This window comes from Homo sapiens, chromosome 16 (genome assembly GCF_000001405.40).
Source record: "Homo sapiens chromosome 16, GRCh38.p14 Primary Assembly".
Lineage (NCBI taxonomy): Eukaryota > Metazoa > Chordata > Mammalia > Primates > Hominidae > Homo > Homo sapiens.
The window spans coordinates 55,991,192-56,011,350 of NC_000016.10; the positions used below are offsets into that span (position 1 = coordinate 55,991,192).

Genomic DNA, 20,159 nt, shown 5'->3' on the forward strand with positions numbered 1-20,159 from the left:
ATGAATGTTTTCACAGCTTTTGAAAAAACAAAAAACTTATTCTGTGTTCTTCAGTTACATGGATTAATCACGTCTGTCTCATTAATTACTTAGGCATTCTATATCCCTGTTTATTATTGTCCTCTTGGCATAAAATAGACAGAGAAAAGTGAATTAAATTCCCTTTCTATTCGTATTTCTGCTTATTTCTTCTGTCTAATTTCTGCTTTATGAAGGTGGATGCTATATTATTTGGCATATAGTTATTTATAAATATTATCTTAAACTGATTTATATCCTTTATGTAAAAAGGTACCCTTCCTTCCCTATTTAATGATATTTGTCTTGAATTCTATGTTGTGTGATATTAAGATATCCGTCACTGCTTTCTTTGCATTTGTATTTCTCTGGTGTGTATTTAACTCTTAAACTTTGTGAATATCTTTGTTTACATGTATTTCTTACATATAACAAAGTTGGATTTGCTTTGTGATCCATTCTGAAAATTATCTTAATGAATATTTACTTTTATTAACATATAAAATATATTTGGTCTTTGTCCTATCATATTATTTGTACTGTGTTCCTGTTTAATAATTTCATTTTTTAAATATTTTTATTATGTAGTTATTATGGACTGAATGCTTGTACTCCTCTCCCACTCCCCACCAAAAGTTACATGTTGAAATCCATACCCCAGTGTGATGGTATTAGGAGGTGGGGACTTTGGAAGATAATTAGGTCATGAGAGAGGAGGCATCATGAATGAAATTAGTGTTCTTCTAAAGGAGACCGCAGAAAGTTATCTTGCTCTTTCCACCATGTGAGGATACAATGAGAAGTCTGCAGTCTGCAACCCTGAAGACAGTCCTCAGCAGAGGCTGACCATGCTGTCACTCTGATCTCAGACTTCCGGCTTTCAGATCTGTAAGATATAAATTACTGCTGTTTATAAACCACTCAGTCTGTGGTATTCTGTTATAGCAACCTGAACTAAGACACTATAGCTTTTACATGTAATTATTCCAATATTAAGAAAGCCTGTATTTGTGTTCTAACAGTTGCCTTTATAAGTGTAGTATTTTTTAATTTTCTTAGCTATTTCCTTAGTTAGCTCTTTATTATAAGCAATAGTGAAATAATTATATTTTCTCTTTCTTTCCCTGTCATGTTTCTTCGTTCTCCCACATAGCTCAGAGATGAGGACACCTCTGATAATCAATAAACATTGATTAGCTGTTACTACTTTCTAAAAACAAAACACAACAAAATGCACACACAGTGTCAAGAAAAGAAGTTTCATTCTCTTTCCTCTTCTGCATGGATATCCCACACTGGTTTGTCTAGAATCGTCTCCCACTCCTGTTTGAAAACATTCTCTCTGACCTAAAGACAGGAAATTTAATGCCTTGGAGATAAAGAAGGGTTGAGTCAATGCAAGAATACATGACACGTTCATATTTCCCTGTTACATCCTGATTTGTTTATTGCTCAGGCTCTGAATATGGCCTAAAACCAGAGATTAGTGGGAGAAATCTGAACTGAATCTCTACAGGGCCAGCATTCATCAAATGCTGACATTCCAAGGTGCTGGGTCCACAGGAATGGCAACACAAGTCAGGAAATAGAAGCAAGTTTTAGGGACATACCTGATTATCAGAATGAGTCACATGGCCTATGGCATCTGCCTACCCTGCTTATAGCATGGTCATAGGTCTCAGGGAACAAGGTTGCTTTATGCCTGATGAACCAAGGTATTTCAGTTTGGATAACAAATTATAGAATCATCCCACCTATAGCCCACACACATTAAATGTGACAATTATGTCATATCTAATTAGGCCAGTGATAAGGTAGCCTTGGCCATCATCATCATTGTAAATGGAAAGCCCACACCTTGATGTTGCCATTGATTGGCTGCCTTTCTGGCTAAGGCTCAATTTCCTCCTCGGTAAAATAAAGACAAAAAGGGGATGAGTTCATTGGTCTCAAAAGTTTATTTCATCGGTATATCAGAATTGGATTTTTACATAGTTCAACCATTTTTCATTATGATCACATTATGTAGGTCATGGTTATTTTAAGGCTCAGAACAAAAATGCCCAGAAAAGTGCTTTCTAAGTCATGTGACAGTGGGTGAATGACAAGCACTGTTACTATGGAAGATTTCCTGGCGCTTACTTTCTTTAGGAAAGAAAAAAAAAATTAAACAGTTCTCTTGATTTTTACAAGAGTTGGGTTCATGGAAAGAAATCTTCCACCATCCCAGGGATGTGCACAAGGTCTATGGGATCCATGAGGACAACAGTACCTGCTTTATAGGAATCAGGATCTGAGCAGGGTGTCTTGTGTGCTCACAGAAATTCCAAGCACACAGTAGTTTCAGGTGACAGCCAATTCGTGGGAGACTCTGGGGACCTTAATTAAAAGGTCAGTAAATTTTTTTGAAAGTAAAATTATTCAACTCAGGATTTTTACCGTGTGCATTAGAAGTATTCATGATCTGTTCTCCCTGGGTGGAGCTCAAACTGACTGAAGCACACACTCCTGCCTCTAAGGAATGAGTAACAAAAGACATTCATTAGGCAAAGGTAACTACACCTAATAAATATCCCAGATTACCCTTCCCTTGTCCAACTCCACCTCTTGTATAGAATCTGTCTGTAAAGGAAAAATGTCTAGAGATAAGACTCAGAGCTTTGGATCCACCTGCTATTTTGGGAAAATTTTCTAAGTATCTTAGTTATACTACATCCTTTCTCTTTCTCTACCTAGAATGACGTATTCATTTCCCTAATCCATAAATTCCACCCCTTTTAGATGAGAAGTCAGCACACTTTTTCTTAAAGGGCCAGGTAGCGCTTTGTAGACCATATGATCTCTGTTGCAACTACTCAGTTCTATGATTGTAGTGCAAGAGTTGCTGTAGACAACAAGTAAACAAATCGGTGAGGCTTTATTCCATCATAATTGTATTTATGGACACTGAAACTTGAATTTCATATCAGTTTACTGGTCATAAAATATTCTTCTTTGGATTTTCTTTCAACCACTTGAATATGTGAAAACCATTCTTAGCTCATGGGTCATGCAAAAATGGCGGCAGGCCAACATACTTTGCCAACCCCTCCTCTATATCATGAGCAACTTGAGAGCAGGGCTGAATGATAATCATCTCACTATCTCCTAAGGCTGGGCTTCACTGCTTGACACCTAGAAGACATCCAAAACTGTGGAGGAAGAAGTGAGAGACAAAAGCCATGGAAAACACAGCAGGTGAATCCATCACACACAACAAGAAAGCCCTTTATGTTGTTCAGAGTGGGTACTAGAAGGGAGAACATGTGGTAGCAGGGTTCTTCTTTTCTCCTGACATTTTTTACACCAAATGTGTGGGGAATTTTCCACACCAGTTCTCCAACTGTCTGACACCAACTCTCTGTATCCAACAATTCAATTCAATTCTGACACTATCTAGATGAAGTTAGCATCAAATCCTACATGTTAAATGGCTCAGTCCCACAAGAGTGGCCCCACTTCAGGTACCAATCGCAAGTCCCAGGCCCCCTATACTTCTGACAACCAAGTGTAAACTTGGAGTTCCCAAATTCGCTAATTCATGTTGGATCATTTGCTAGAATGACTCACAAAACTCAGGAAAGGACTCTACTTACATTTACCAGTTCATGATAAAGGATACAAATGAACAGCCAGATGAAGAGGTACATAGGGTGAGGTCTGGAAGGGCTCCAAGTATGGGAGCTTTTGTCTTCATGAAGTTGGAGTGTGCCCCTCTCCCAGCATGTGGATGTGTTCACCAACTCAGAAGCTTCCCAACCCCATCATTTAATTTTTAAGGAGGCATCATTATGTAGGTACAATTGATTAAATCATTGGCCATTAGTGACTGATCCAATCTTCACCCCTTTTGCCCTCCCTGTTGGGTGGGTGGGGAGGAGGGGCGGGGGTTGGAAGCTCCAAGCTTCTAACCAAGGCTTGGTCTTTCTGGTGACAAGCCTTCTAGGGTCCCACTAAGAATCAGCTCATTAGAACAAAGATGATTCTATCACCCTTATTATTCAGGAAATTCCAAGGGTTTTAAGAGCCTTGTACCAGGAACCAGGAGCAAAGACCAAATATCTTTCTAATTATATGTTAAAAAGCTAATAACATCACTTTGGAGTCAGAAAGACACCTGTGTTTGCATCCCAGCCCCACCATTTCCTGGTTTGGCCCTGAGCAAATAACTGCACTTCAGAGTTCATTTTTCTGCAAGTAACAGAAAAAAAACAACTAAAGGTGGCTTGAACACTTATCAAGAAACATGGGCATAGGGGTTCCAAGGCTGGTTCAGTCACCCAGCACTGTCACTGAGATCACAGCTCACACACTCTTTCTTTCTCGTGCTCATTGGCTTTTCACCTCTGTGTTTGTCATCTGTGGTTGCCAATGGCTGCCAGAACTTTAAGCATCACATCCACCGTGTTCAAGTCAGGAAGAAGGAACAGAGTAAGTATACCAGCTGTCTGCTCTTATGCTAGTCCCTTTATCAGGAAACCAATGACTTACCTAGAACTCTCTAAACAGATGCCATTTATATTCTCATTGTCCAGACCTGGGTTCTATGGCCACCCTTGGTGCAAAGGAGGTCAGTCTTTATGGTGGTTAGCAAGGGAGAAGGGAGTTGGGAATTGTTTGGGAATGCGGCAAGGGGAGTGGGGCCTTAACGGTGTCCATCTCACAGATTGTTGTGAGGATAAGTGAAGCAATGTGTGTAAAGCATTGCACATAAGCACTCGGTCAATGGAAGCTACTATTATCAATATGGCTAGCTTAAATATTTTCAAAATCATAAAACATAGTCTCTACACTGCCAGTATAAAAACTGCAATTTCTCAAAGTTAGAAAGCCTCACATCCTCATTTCACAATGCCAATAATTACATACATTTAAGGTGAATGAAGACTGAAATAGAAGAGAGAGAGAGAGAGACTGTGTGTGTGTGAGAGAGATATTCAGTTATTGATGTATAGCATTCCATATGTACATAGAACTACACACACACACACACACACACACACACACACACACACACACACATTAAGAGTAAATGAATAAAGCCAGGTGTTGATAGATAGGCTCTGCATTCTGAATGCTAAATTAGATAACTCAGGCAATTTCCTCAGGCTAAAATCCTGAGTCATCCTTCTCCGTCTCTCTTTGCCTTTCCCTAGTCAGTCAAAAAGTTCTGTAGATTTTGCACTGCAATATGCTTTCTATTTGTTTGCTCTTTTCCACTGCCCAAGTGCAACCTTTATCACCTTTTGTCCAGACAATTGCAATAGACTTCCTAAGTATTCCCCTGTCTCTAGTTGTTCTGCCCCCTACCAAAGCAATCCATTCTCACCTTCTTGCCAGTTATCTTCTTAAAGCAAAGCTCTGACGATGCCACTTTCTGCTTGAAAAACTTTAATGGTTCCCGGCTGCCTACAAAGTCCCAATGCCTCAAATATTATTCAAGGATGTTCTTACCTGCCCTCAACCTCCCTTTCTCACCTTCTCATTTCCTTACACACTCATAGTCCAGCTTACTTAGAAACTGTTCCCTGTTCTCTCAGCAAATGCCTCCCCTATGCTTCATGCACGTATCTTAATTCACACTAATCCTTCTTTGCTCTTCTAGATTCTACCTAGAGGGATGACGGTAGCTTCTGTTTTAAGCTACACTGAAACTCTGTCTCATGGAAGACTACAAAGCACCCAGAATTTTGTGGACCATAATTTGTGCAAAATTATCTGATTAAATCAATAAAGCTTTCAATAATTCCTTCTGGTGTTTTTCTAGTCCTGGGACATTTAAATGTGCTGATGACTGACAATTTAAAATTGTAATGTTCCATCAAATGAGCTGGGAAGGAGACAGTTGATTCAGGACTGCAGGGTCAGGATCAGGACTGGACAAGGAAGAGGCCTGGTTGGAGCTCGGCTTGGTTCTCTCCCTCCCTCTAAATAGAGATGTCAGATGAGCTTTCACGTAGCAGAGAATCATGTACTCTGTGCTGTCCCAAAGTGGGAAGGAAGCTATTATTGTTGGTGCCAGGCACTATACCGGATATGCCATTTTGCTGCCCAGTTAACCATCTTAATATCTGTTAAGGTAGGGATTCTCATTGTCTCTATTTTCTATCAGAAATGAGAGATGCAGAAGTGAGTAAATTCTTAAAGTCACAGTGTTGGGATTCAAAAACAAGTGTATCTGACTTCAAAATCCCACTCTGCTCTTATCCAAGATCATACAGCAGAACAACTAAATTTATTTTTTATTAATTTTTAAAATTGACCCATAATAATTGAACATATCCCCTGGGGTACATAGTGCTGTTGCATCTATTCTCAGCCTTTTGGCTATGATCATGTATAGCACAGTGATGTTGCAATACATATAATGTAATGATCAGATCAGGGAACTCAGCATATACATTATCTCCAACAGTTACGACTTCTATGTGTTGAGAACCTTCAATATCCTCCTTATAGCTATTTGTATATTCTAACTATGTACTATATTATTGTTAACTAAAGTCATCCTACAGTGCTATAGAACACTAGAGCTTATTCCTCCTACCCAGTTATACTTTTATATCCTTTAACAAATCTCTCCCCATTCCCCACTTCCCTTACCTTCCCCCACCTCTGGTATCCTCTGTTCTACTTTTTACTTCTATGTGATCAACTTTTTTTTTTTTAGCTTCTACATATGAGTAAGAACATGCAGTGTTTAACTTTCTGTTGCTGGCTTATTTTACTTAACAAAATGTCCTCCAGTTCCATCCGCATTGCTTCAAATGATAGGCTTTCATTCTTTTTTATGGCTGAATAGTATTCCATTGTGTATATATACCACAATTTCCTTATCCACTTATCTGTTGTGGGACACCTAGGCTGATTCCATTTCTTGGCTATTGTGAATACTCCTGCAATAAACATAGGGGTGCAGATGCTTCTTTGGTATACTGATTTTCTTTCTTTTGGATAAATATCCAGTAGTAAGGTTGCTGGATCATGTGGTAGTTCTAATTTTAGTGTTTTAAGGAACCTCTGTATTGTTCTCCATAGTGACTCTACTAGTTTATGTTCCCACCAAAAGCATATAAGAGCACCCTTTTCTCCACATCCTCACCAACATTTGTTATTTTTTGTCTTTGATAATAGCCCTTCTAACTGGGATGAGATAATACTTCATTGTGGTTTTGATTTGCAATTCCCTGATGATTAGTGATACTGAGGATTTTTTCATACACCTGTTGGCCATCTGTGTGTTTTCTTTTGAGAAATGTCTGTTCAAATTATTTGCCTATTTTTTAATTGGATTGTTTGGATTTTTGCTGTTGAGATGTTTGAGTTCATTACATATTCTGGATATTAATCCCCTGTTGGATGGAGAGTTTCCAAATATTTCCTCCCACTCTGTAGGTTGTCTTTTCACTTTATTGATTGTTTCCTTTGTTGTGCAGAAACTTTAGTTTGATATAATCCCATTTGTTTATTTTTTCTTTTGTTGTCTATGCTTTTAAAGTTTTATTCATAAAATCTTTTCCCAGATCAAAACTCTGAAGCATTTCTCCTATGTTTTATTCTAGTAGTTTTATAGTTTTAGGTCTTCCATTTAGGTTTTTGATCCATTTTCAGTTGATTTTTGTACAGGGGAGAAGTGAAAGTCTAGTTTTATTCTTCTGCATATGGATATCCAATTTTTCCAGCACCATTTATGGAAAAGACTGCACTTACCCCAACATGTGTTCTTGGTGCCTTTGTCAAAATTAGTTGGCTATAGATGTGTGGATTAACTTCTGAGTTATCTATTCTGTTCTATTGGTCTATGCTTCCGTTTTTATGTTAGTACCATGCTGTTTTGGTTACTACAAACTTGTAGTATATTTTGAAGTCTAAAATAGTGTAATGCTAGTGTAATGCATCCATCTTTTTTTTCTGAGAATTGCTTTGGTTTTGGCTATTTGCTATTTGGAAGATTTTGTTGTTCCATAAATATTTTAGATTTTTGTTTATCTCTGTAAAGAATGTCACTGGCATTTTGATAGGGATTGCACTGAATCTGTAGATTACTTGGGTAGTGTGGTCATTTTAATAATATTAATTATTCTAATCCATGAGCATGGTCTGTTTTTCCATTTTTTTTTTTGTATCCTGTTCAATTTCTTTCATCAGTATTTTGCAATTCTCCTTATAGAGATCTTTCACCTCTTTGGTGAAATTTATTCCTATGTATTGTTTATGTAGATTTTGCAAATGGGATTGCCTTCTTGGTTTCTTTTTCAGCTAGTTTGTTGTTTGTGTATAGAAACAATACTGGTTTTGTATGTTTATTTTGTATTTTATAACTTCATTGAATTTGTTTATCAGTTCTAGAAGTTTTTTGTCAGAGTCTTTGGGTTGTTACAATTATTAAATGGAAAGCTTTCAGCTTTTCCCCAATCTATATGATAACTGTGAATTTGTCATAGATGGCCTTTATTCTGTTGAGGTACTTTCCTTCTATACCCAATATATTGAGAATTATTATCATGAAGAGATGTTGAATTTTATTAAATGCTTTTCCTGCATCTATTGAGATGATCATATGGTTTTTGTCCTTCAATCTACTGATATGATGCACCACATTTATTGATTTGCATATGTTGAACCATCCTTGCATTTCTGGGACAAATCCCACATGATCATTGTGTATTATCTTTTTTTGTGTGTTATTAGATTTAAATTGCTAGTATTTTGAGGATTTTTATGTCTAGGTTCATCAGGGATATTGGCCTGTAGTTTCCTTTTTTTGTTGTTGCCTTGTCTGGTTTAGTATCCTGATCATGCTGGCCTCAAAAAACGAATTAAGAAAAACTCCCTCCATTTCAATTTATTGAATAGTTTGAGAAGAAATTGGTATTAATTATTCTTTAAAGGTTTGGTAGAATTGAGTGGTAAAGCTATCTAGTCTTGGACTTTTCTTTATTGAGAGACTTTTTATTACTGATTCAATCTCATTATATGTTATTGGCTTGTTCAGGTGTTCTATTTCTTCTTGGTTCAATCTTGGTAGGTTGTATGTGCCCAGGAATTTATCCATTTCCTCCAGATTTTCAAACTTATCAGCATATAGCCATTCATAGTAGTTTCTAATGATCCTTTGTATTTCCATGGTATCTGTTGTGATGTCTCCTTTTTTGTTTCTGATTTTACATATTTGGGTATTTTCTCCTTTTTCTTGGTTAATATAGCTAATGATTTCTCAATTTTGTTTGTCCTTTCAAAAAAATTCTTGTTTTGTTGATCTTTTGTATTTTTGTCTCATTTCATTTATTTCTGCTACAATCTTTGTTATTTATTTCTTTCCACTAATTTTGGGTTTGGCTTATTCTTTCTTTTCTAGTTCCTTGAGATGCATCATTAGGTTGTTTAGTTAAAGTCTTTCTAATTTTTTTATGTAGACATTCATTGCTATAAATTTGTCTCTTAATAATGCTTTTTCTGTGTCTCATACATTTTGAGATGTTGTGTCTTATTTTCATTTGTTTCAAGGATTTTTAAAATTTTATCCTTAATTTTCTCCTTCATCCATTGGTCATTCAGGAGCATGTTTAATTTCTATGTATTAGTATAGTTTAACATGTTCCTCTATTGTTGATTTCCAGTTTTAGTCCATTGTGTTCAGATTAGATACTTGGTATGATTTTGATTTTTTAAAAAAATTTGTGATACTTGGATTGTGTCCTAACATATAGTCAATCCTGGAAAATATTCATTCCTACTTTTCATTGGAGTGTGTTTTTATTAGCAACATAAAATTGGAAGCAGCCATACTGCAGTAGCAAATCTAGGCATTTTATTTACCAAGATATTTGAGTTATAGCCCTAAGTTTTATAAACTCAAGGTGAAGTGGAGAAGAAAAGTTATAATTTATTGAATACTTACTATATACTAGGCACTGTGCTAAGTAAGCCTGCGAGTACACATAACTGCATTGAGACCTCCCAGCACCCCTATGAGTAGTTCTTCTTAACATCCACATTTTACAGATTGTAAGATTGAGGCCCAAAGAAGTTAAAATAACTTGACAAAAGCCACACAGATAAAAAGCAGAAGAGCTAAGATTCAGTCAAGATAGAACCCCAAAGTCATACCCAAATAATTATAATAAAGTAATAAGTGGCATACCACAGAAACAGCAGAAGACGTGAGAAAGGGAGTGGAGATCAGGTAAGCTTTCACACAGAAGGTAGCAAATAGGCTGGGCTTTAAAGCATGGGTAGACATCCACCAGGTATTTGAGTTGGTGGAAAATGCATGTGCCGTGCCCTAATGAAAGAAAAGGGTTCTGTCCAGAAGAATCAGAGGGTTGAATGTCATGGGATTATAGGGCATGCAGCAGAAAGTGATGAGAAATCACTGCCCTTAAGAAGGAGGAGGCTGTGGCAGGTGACGGAAAGCCCTGTTACCATAAAAGAAAGCTTAGGCTTTGCTTTTAGGGACTGGGGAGCCCTAAGCAAGATGTGGTCTGATTGAACTTGAGATCTAGAAAGAACAGTTTGGTGGCAAAGTGGAGAAGACAGGCTTGATCATGGAGGCCAAGGGACTAAACAAAAAAGTCTCAGGACAAGCAGGTACTGCCAACCCAAGAAGAAGGCCAGGAGGGCCCATGTGAATGGAAGAGTGTAAGTTGAGTCTGAAGTGGTCTCAGCTACCACTGATCAATTCTGGCAGGCACTACCATGTTGGAGAATGGGCCTAGAAATAGAGACTTTAAAATCTTTAAATTTTTTAATATCTTGATTTTTTAAAATCAAGTATTCCTTTCAATTCTTGCTATCCAAATACTACCTAGACTCAGGAACCAAATACAGACTCACTTGTTCTCTTGCGCTTACTCTGTATCTGAACTCTCACTGCCCTAAAACAGAGATGAGACAGATTTGGATGGTGTGGGACCTGTCAGCAACCAATATAAGCATTAAAAAATTACTTGTTAGGGCCAGGTGCGGTGGCTCACGCCTGTAATCCCAGCACTTTGGGAGGCCGAGGCGGGCAGATCACGAGGTCAAGAGATTGAGACCATCCCGGCCAATATGGTGAAACCCCATCTCTACTAAAAATACAAAAATTAGCTGGGCGTGGTGGTGCATGCCTGTAGTCCCAGCTACTCGGGAGGCTGAGGCAGGAGAATCACTTGAACCTAGGAGGCAGAGGTTGCAGTGAGCTGAGATCATGCCACTGCACTCCAGCCTGGCGACAGAGCGAGACTCATCTAAAAAAAAAAATTTCTTGTTCACTGGGCATGGTGACTCACACCTGTAATCCCAGCAATTTGTGAGGCTGAGGTGGGAGGATCACTTGGAGCCAGGAGTTCAAAACCATCCTGGGTAACTAAGCGAGACCCCTGTCTCTACAAAAAAAATTTAAAAATTAGCTGGGCATGGTAGTGTGTACCTGTAGTCCCAACTACTCAGGAGGCTGAGGCAGAAGGATCACTTGAGCCCAGAAGTTCATGCTTGCAGTGAGCTATGACTGTGCCACTGCACTCTAGCCTGGGCAACAAAGCAAGACCCTGTCTTTAAAAAAAAGAAAAAAAGAAACTTGTCAGTGTACATAATACGAATATAGATACATATGTATAAACACACACATACAAATACACATATGCACGTATATACACATATATACATATATACACACAAGAAAACATGTGTGCATGTTTATGTATGTTTATATGTGCATATACAGTCATGTGTCACTTAACGATGGGGACACATACTGAGAAATGTGTCAATAGGTGATTTCGTCATTGCGCAAATGTTGTACAGTCCACCTACACAAACCTAGATTGTATACTATACACCTAGGCTTTATAGTATAGCCTACTGCTCCTAAGCTACAAACCTGTACAGCGTGTTACTGTACTGAATACTGTAAGCAACTGTAATACAATGGTAACTATTGTGTATCTAAATATAACTAAACAGAGAAAAGGTATAGTAAAAATAGAGTATACAAGATTTAAAATGGCACAACTGTATAGGGCACTTGCCATGAGTAGAGCTTGCAGGATTGGAAGTGGCAATGGGTGAGCCAGTGAGTGAGTGGTGACAGAATGTGAAGGCATAGATCATTACTACTTGTAGACTTTATAAACAATGTACACTTAGGTTACACTAAATTTATTTACATTTTTTTCTTTCCTTAATAATAAATTAGCCTTAGCTAACTGTAACTTTTTTACTGTATAAACTTAAAACTTTTTTGTGACTTTTTGACATCTGTAACTTAGCTTAAAATACAAACACGTTATACAGCTATACAAAAATATTTTCTTTCAAATATTTCTTTCTTTACAAAAATATTTTTCTTAAATCCTTATTCTATAAGCGCTTTTTTCTATTTAAAATTTTTAAAATTATTTTGTTAAAAACTAAGACACAAACACACACGTTAGTCTAGGCCTATGCAGGGTCAGGATCATCAAGATGTCACTAGGCAATAGGAATTTTTCAGCTCCATTAGAATCTTATGAAACCACCACCATCTATGTCATTAACATAAACATAATTTTGCGGCACATGACACAGCTACTACCGTTACTGGAACTACAAACACTCAGTATCTCGGAGTTACACAGCCTGCCCAGGAACCCTGGGCTTCATCAAGCTCTTAAGACACATACTTTTTGCAGCCTTCAGTAAAACATGAGCCTCTTCTCTAGGTTTTCTCCCATTGCTTGATGTCCAAGACCCTGGAATTTTCCCCAGGAAGGTGACCAAAGAATTGAGATATACAGTTCAGACTTCAAAAGCAAAACAGAGACTTGGGTGGTTTGATCTACCAACCAAAAGTATAAGACAAGAAGGAATGTGAACCGTCCTCAGGGTGGTTCACCTGAGCTACTACTAAGTTTAATTTAGCAGCTGAAACCCTCAGCTCTTGTGTCGACTCAACTCTTTTAATAACTTCTACTCATAATCCGCTGTATTACTATATTGTTTATGAGGAAGCCTCTCTCTCTCTCTCTCTCTCTCTCTCTCTCTCTCTGTCATTTTCTATGACTAGAAATGTGTGAAAAATGCCCACTCCCTCACATGGCTTCAACTCCTCTTCTAGTGCTGATTTTCTCCCATTTCTTCCCATCACCACTTCTTTGCAATGGAAGCTGCAATACTTGTGGGCAGTTTCTTAATTATTTAATGTATTTGCAGTTGATTTCCTGGACATAACAAGAGTGCCATTCAAGGTCCCTGAGGGCTCTAAGAGTGCACTTCTGGAAGCCAAGGCTTCTCACCTTGCCCACCAGCATCGGCCCTCAGGAGGTTTAAAATCAAATGGTTCTCACATCACCTGGCCCTGCAATTCACCCGTCTGATTTATCACACTTGGCTGAGGGCCTAGGACTTGGTTCAGAAAAGGTTTCTGGCTGGATACTTCACAACCCAACAGTATGTCTGTAATTCATGGTGGTTTGTTTTATGTATAGCAGCAGAAATCCAAACACTCTCTCCCTTACCTGTTTTTGTGGCTGTTTTCATGTGTCATTAACAAAACTTTGAGCACCTAGGAATTTAATTTTTTTTTTAAATCTGCCTGAACTTGAGACAATTTCTGGAGCTAGTGGATAAATCCAACAAATATTTATCCTATACCTGCAATGTGTAAGATGCTGATCAGGAGTAGGGTAGGTGTAGACTAACTCTTTATCTGTTTTGTAAATAAAGTTTTATCGGAACACAGACACACCCGTTCATTTACATATGGTCTATGGTTACTTTCAAACCAGTGACACAGTTGAGTACTTGCAACAGAGATTGCATAGCCCATAAAGCCTGAAATATTTACTCTCTGTCACTGGATCAGCCATTTGACATTTTGTGGCAAATTGTCTGAAGGATCCTACTGGTTCTCATGGAGTTCACTGCAAATATTAGTGACTCTTAAAATCTATAGCTTTATTTGGACCTCTTTCCAAAGCTCAAAAATCATAATTTCAACATTCTGGGGGCATCTCCACCTGCTGTCCCAATATTCTACAGGATTTCCAAGCTCAATATCCCCATAGGAACCTCTCTTCCTATGGCGTCCCTTGTCTCATTTATGATATCATCACCCACAGATCTTGAGCCTTGGTCCCCTGGGTGACATCCCTGGATCTTCCCTTTCCCTCAGCTCCACATGTAACTGTCATGAGTTCCTCCTATAGATCTCCCTTACCCTTCTCTATTCCATCCTTGCTGCCACATCTACCTTCATCTCCTGCGTGGACACTGCAGAAGTTAACCCTTTCCACTGTATAGGAATAAGAATCAACCAAGCTAAGGCACAAATGAAACATGAGATACACAGCTTTGCATACAATTTAGGGGAATGGCTCCCATAGCTCTAAAATAATAATAGCTAATACTTGCATAGCTCTTACTATATTTCAGGCACAGTTCTAGGTAACTTAACTTATGATAGTGCCTTGGAGCCTCATAATTAACCTATGAAGTAGGCATTCTTTCTATCATTCCCATCTTACAGATAAGGAAGCTGAGGTTCAATGAAACTGAATAACATGTCCAAGGTTACAAGAAAGCAAAGGATGGAACTAGGATGCAAATTCAGGCAGTCTGTCTCAAGTCTGTGCTCTTAACCACAAGTCTGTTCTATGCTGCCTCTGTTGATCTGAGCTTTTTTGTATCTTGCCAGGGTTACCAACGTTCAACCCATAGTCAGATCAGGTCACAACTTCCTTATCGGCTGGACCACTCCTCAGCAGAATGTAGAGAATTCTTGCACAATGGATCTCAACTTGGCATGCCAAGAAAGGGGCTGCTCATCCACCAGGTTTCTCCCTCCTAGTGGTGGGGAGTGAAGAGTGAGGCCCAGGGGCTTATCACAGAAAGGATCCCAGAGCTGCATTGGTGAGGGGAGAACAGGATTGCAGGATGGGGCTGGAGTAGTTGGGGCAATTATAGCCTTTAAGCAGGCTTTCTCCTGCATTTGTCTGAGATAAAATCCATTACCAAGTTGCCTTTCTGCTCCCAGATCTGTCACTCTACAAGCTTTTATCCTGAATAACAACACACTTAAATATTCAGCAAGTGCCCCGCAGAGCAGTAAATACTGAAAGCACACATAAAAGGTCATGGTCTCCATCCCCTCCCTCCTCCCTGGATTTACAGTTTAAGAGGCAAGACCCCAAAGCTGCACTCTTAATAAAATGTGGCCTAAAAATGTAGAAAGAAATTATTTCTTGCCCTGTTTTTTCAACAATGACTTTCTCATGTCTTTGTTGGGTATAATCAGAGGGAAAAGGCAGATAAAATGACTTAGTGGATTCATTTGAACAAAGTATATTAAGAATTTACTCTACGCAAAGCTCCGTGCTTGGCATTGAAAGGGATCAACAAGAGCGTCAAATAATTACTACCTTCAAGAAGTTTTCTCTCTAGCAGTGGGATAGGTTCTATGTCTACATAAATATAACACCATACTATTGCCCATAAAACATTTACAGAAGGGAAACAATGGTGAGAATGCCACTCATTGGGCCCCTGTGATATACCAGGCACTGTGTTCAATGCTGCAAGTCTTCACTATCTCATAATCCTTACTGCAACCCTGCAAGGCAGCGATAATTAGCCTCATTTTACAAAGGAGAAAATGGAGGCTACTCAGAAAGGTTAAGTCACCTGCCCTAGAGGAAGAAAAGCTGGGATTTAAACTGAAGTCATGGAGACTGCAAAGCCCATAGCAGAGGCATTATGTAAGCTTCTTTTTGCCCCAGTGAGTGAGTGAAATGTTGAGGGGGGTGATTTGGGCCCGTGCATCCCAAGCAGAGGGAAGAGAATGGGGTATCAGAAGAGGGAAATGTAGGATTTGTGCCAAGGATGGAAGAGCAGGGAATGTGGTGGAGTAAGTCCTGAGAGCAGGTGGAGGCTTTGACTGGGTACCAAGGAGGTTCTCTCATTTGGTGGCTACAGAGTAACCACCATGGTGGTTCCCCCCGAGGGCCTCACATTTTTGGACATAAAACCAGCCTTAGAAATTTCTGGCTTTTTCTGATTTTAAGCCAAATCGTGTCCATCTTCCTCAATACTGTTCCTATCCCCTTTTTTAGCACAGCCAAATCTTGAGCAATCTTAAGCTGAGCAAACATGGATGTTCAGGGGCAAACTGCTTGTCCTTGCAGTGGGCCTTCATGCTCCAGTGATGGAGATGGTAGGATCTCAGCCGCTTTCACACTAATCCCTTCTCCCCTGGAGAGGAGTAGTTATTGCCTTGCATCTCTGCCTCATCAAAGACGAGCCAAATTGGTTTGTGGGCATTCTACTGGGATTGGTATGTGGCGTGTCGCATTAATAGAGTGTTTGAAATACAGCCTTCAGAAAGTATGCTTCCATTTGCAGCACTGTATCATAGTCAGAGACTCAGCATCAACCAGAAGAAAGAACAAAGTCTGAAGTCTACTTATTGGATGAAAAGAAGTAGATAAGCAGGAGTAGGAGATGAAGAAGTTTGTGGAAGAGACCCAATCCATGTTTTCAATAGCAAGCACATTTTCACATTGTCCAAATGATGTCTTATGAGCAGAAAGATTCAAGGTCATTGGAGGAAATAAGCATAAATTAACCAGGGCAATTTCCACAGTCTCTAGAGTGATGTGCAAGGGTGACCTCAAAGGTCAAAGAACTCGGATCATAGACTCATAGCAGAAAGGAACAACAGAGATTAGCCATCTTTTTAAAATGAAGAAGCTAAAGCCCAGAGAGTACAAACACTTATCCAAAGTCACATAGATGGTTAGCAGTGGGACAAGATCTGAAGTATCCTGCTTTCCAGCCCAGGGTCTGTTTATGACACCATGATGCCTTCTATGAGAATGTGACTATGAGCAAGCAGTAAATATTTTAAGATGTCAGAAACCTGAGTATGGGTGCAAAAGGCCAGGGAGGGCTTCAAGGAGGACATCGAAGGATGTGAAATGGGCTTTGAAGAATAGGTGGAATTTAAATAGGCAGAGAGTAGAGGACATTGCAGAGAGAGGAGGATGCCCTCCACCTGCCCAGAATGTGCCAAACCTGGCATCTCAGTATCAGAAAAAGAAGTCAGCAGATTCTTGTGGTGAAAAATTGCTACAACAGTAAAATTGAATCCCCCTTCCCGGAAGAAATGTAAGCCCTTGTAACAGATGAGAAATCTAAACCTTCGTGCCCTAGCTTAATAGTTTTCAGAAACCAACAAACTCCTTGAAAGGTTGAAGAGGAAAGGAGGAAAAAACTCAGCTTGCCTCTCCGCTTAAAGGAAGAGTGCTTCCTGCTGGCAGCTGTAAACATTCATGGAGCACCCTGAGGGCTTCAACCCCAGCAGGGCATCTTGGGCAGGGACAGAGCCCCCCAGAGCCCGGGAGGGGCCAGGTCTAGCTTCCCCAGGGCCTTGCCCATTCACCAGTGGGTGACAGGACCACAGGAGACCTGAGTCACCCTTGTTAATCGTGCTCAGATCATTGGCCCATTACAAATCTCCCTCAACCGGAATAAAATGTGGCCTCTAAAAGGATGTAGACAAAGGCAGCAGCTCACATCAGAACAGCATTTATAAAATGAGCCCAGGTGAAAAGCCCAGAACCCATGCCCAACACAGGATGATAACAGAGATGTAAAACATATTTAAGGAGGAATTAAGATTGAAAAGAAAAATGAACACAACTGTGTCCAGCTGGTGGGATGTTGGATGCTTTTTTTGTCTTTGAAAATAATCTTCATTACAATTGTATGTGATATAAATAATAAATAAATACATTTTGCCATACTTTTTTGAACTGTGCCAGCCTTTGTCTCCAATCCACCCGAACAGACGCTGAGCCCGTCAAGGAAGTAGACAAAGTTTTTCTCCAGCACTCACCGCACCCCTACCTGCCTAATATCCACAATTTACATCCTGCCTTATCTTCCCCAGGCTTAATTCCTTAACCATTATCTCAAACTAATGACTTTTCTCCCTCCTTCTTCCTGCCATCTACCTCCCCAAAATATTTCCTAGTATTGAAGCTGTTCTCGGTGCTAGCAGTGCAGTCACTAACTTAGTGAGGGAAGGGACAGGTAGGTTACCCTCTACGATAATGTGTCTGCTTACTGTAGTTGGATAGTCTGCAAAGATGGGCATTGTCAATGCCTGCCCTCTCTGCATACATAGGCTACTCCGTCTCCTTGCATCTGAGCTGGCCTCAGTGACCTGCTTGACCAACAAAATGCAGTGGAAGTGACAATCTTGGAAGTGGGGCTTCCAAGGCTAGGTCCCCAGGGAGAATGGTGGGCAGTAGGTCTGGCTGGGTAGGTTGGGACGCAGTTCTTTAGCGGCTCTCCTTGAGCAGCAGCCCTCTGGGCTACACTGTCAATATGTCCCTGAAGGCTGGGGTCAGTGTGATCTACATCCTCTGCCCCAATCTGGTCACCACTTGTTCCCAACTGCAAGCTTATCGCTTTGCTGAGAGACTAGAGATTCAAGAATGCAAGAGTTCAATCTAAATAAATCTCCAAGGAATTCAAAGTGCACATGTGTCTGTGTATAAAGCGCATGCCCACTGTATTTATGAACTGTAGCAAAGTCCACACCTTCACCATCCATTAATATTGATGGGCCATGAAGACGCTTTTAGGTGGGAGGGCATGATCATAGCTCAGAGTTAATGGGTGAAAGAATCGATCCCATTTCAACCTCTAGGGAAAGGCTGAAGTTGGAGCTGGAGAAGGGTCTTGGGTACTGTCCCCAGAGTATTAGCTGACCTGGGTTCCTAGCTCTGCTGGTCATTTGCAGTGTAAACTTGGGTAAGTCACTCTCCCTCACTGAGCCTCAGTTTCTTCATCTGCACAGAACAGAGGATCTCTGGGGTTCCTTTAAGTTTTGACATTTCATGATTCTATGAGAGAGAGGCACATTAAATGAAGTGGAGAAAAGAGGTTCTCACGTATCTGCCATCTATGGAACACACCTATGGAATTCAGACCAAGTACTAATGGCATTAATGTTTTGCTAGTGCTGTGCATCATAGTGTTTGGCTGAAAATAAGATCAAATCTCAGATTCCCATACAGTTGACTTTTCCCCAAGGCATCTGGAAACTATGACCACAAGTTTCTCCCTGGGTATCTCTCATTCCTGAGGTCAAATTTCATTATTGCATGCTTCAATGTAATACATGTAGATTTAGCCTCATGCACAAAGACACTTTCACTAGGAAAGGGGACATATTCTTCATCAGATTTTCTTTTTCACTTGTTGGGAATGTAATGTAACAACTTCACTGTACCATAAATTTACTTCAATGACTTGGAAAAACAATGTTCAGCTTCTTGATAATATTTAACTTTTATAGTAAAATTACTATAAGCAAGAAGCCATGAACTCATGATAAAGGAAATCACCCGCTCACTGATTTACAAGTTGAATGCTCTCAGTTCTTTAATTCAAGGAGGCACTATCAGTTTTATTTAAACAAAAACTTCACAACACGAAGTTGTGGAGTTCACACGAAACTTCACAACAGTGTAGGTCTCAATATCCTTAGGTCTGAGTACCAAGATGCACTTTCCTATACACCAACAAGTGTTCCCTGTCTCAGAGATTAAGGCCCAGAAAGGGGGTGGAGGTGGCATTTGCTGGCACTAGGACATGGTCAGTTTGTGCTGCTTCAGAAATGATGCACCATCCACCCTCTCTGTAGGTGCCATTCCTCCTCACCTGTGTCAGCTGAGACAACACCACAGACCACCTCTCTCTCTTGCTGAGCAACAAGGTAGGAGTCAAAGAAACTGCAGGATTCCACTAGGAATTCCTCATCATTTCTGACTTGCAGAAAGCAGTGGTGAAATGGGACCCCCAAGCAGAGCTCACTCTGAACCCCTCCCTTTAATATGCATCCTGATGAATGCCGAAAGGCATTCTCCTGCTTTCTCCTTTGGGCCAGAGAGATTTGGGGTAAGCAAAGGCAATGCTTAGTTTTGGGGGACAAAACAACTGTGTAGGAGAAAGACAGCCTAATACATGGTTCTAAGAGTCAAGAGGCAGGATAAGATAGTGGTGAAGAGCGTGGACTTCGGAGCCCGACTCTCTGGTTTGAATCTCAGCTCTGCCACTCATTATCGGTGCGATGT

General features: G+C 39.8%; 1 long non-coding RNA gene across 1 annotated transcript; it reads right to left on the reverse strand.

Moving 5' to 3' along the window:
• Positions 1-576: 576 nt before the first annotated feature.
• Positions 577-2,534, reverse strand: LOC124903694 (uncharacterized). The gene is made up of 2 exons (XR_007065076.1): positions 2,458-2,534; positions 577-904 (listed from the first exon to the last, which is right to left on the reverse strand). It is a non-coding gene; the product is annotated as an uncharacterized LOC124903694 (long non-coding RNA).
• Between the last annotated feature and the right edge of the window lie 17,625 nt (positions 2,535-20,159).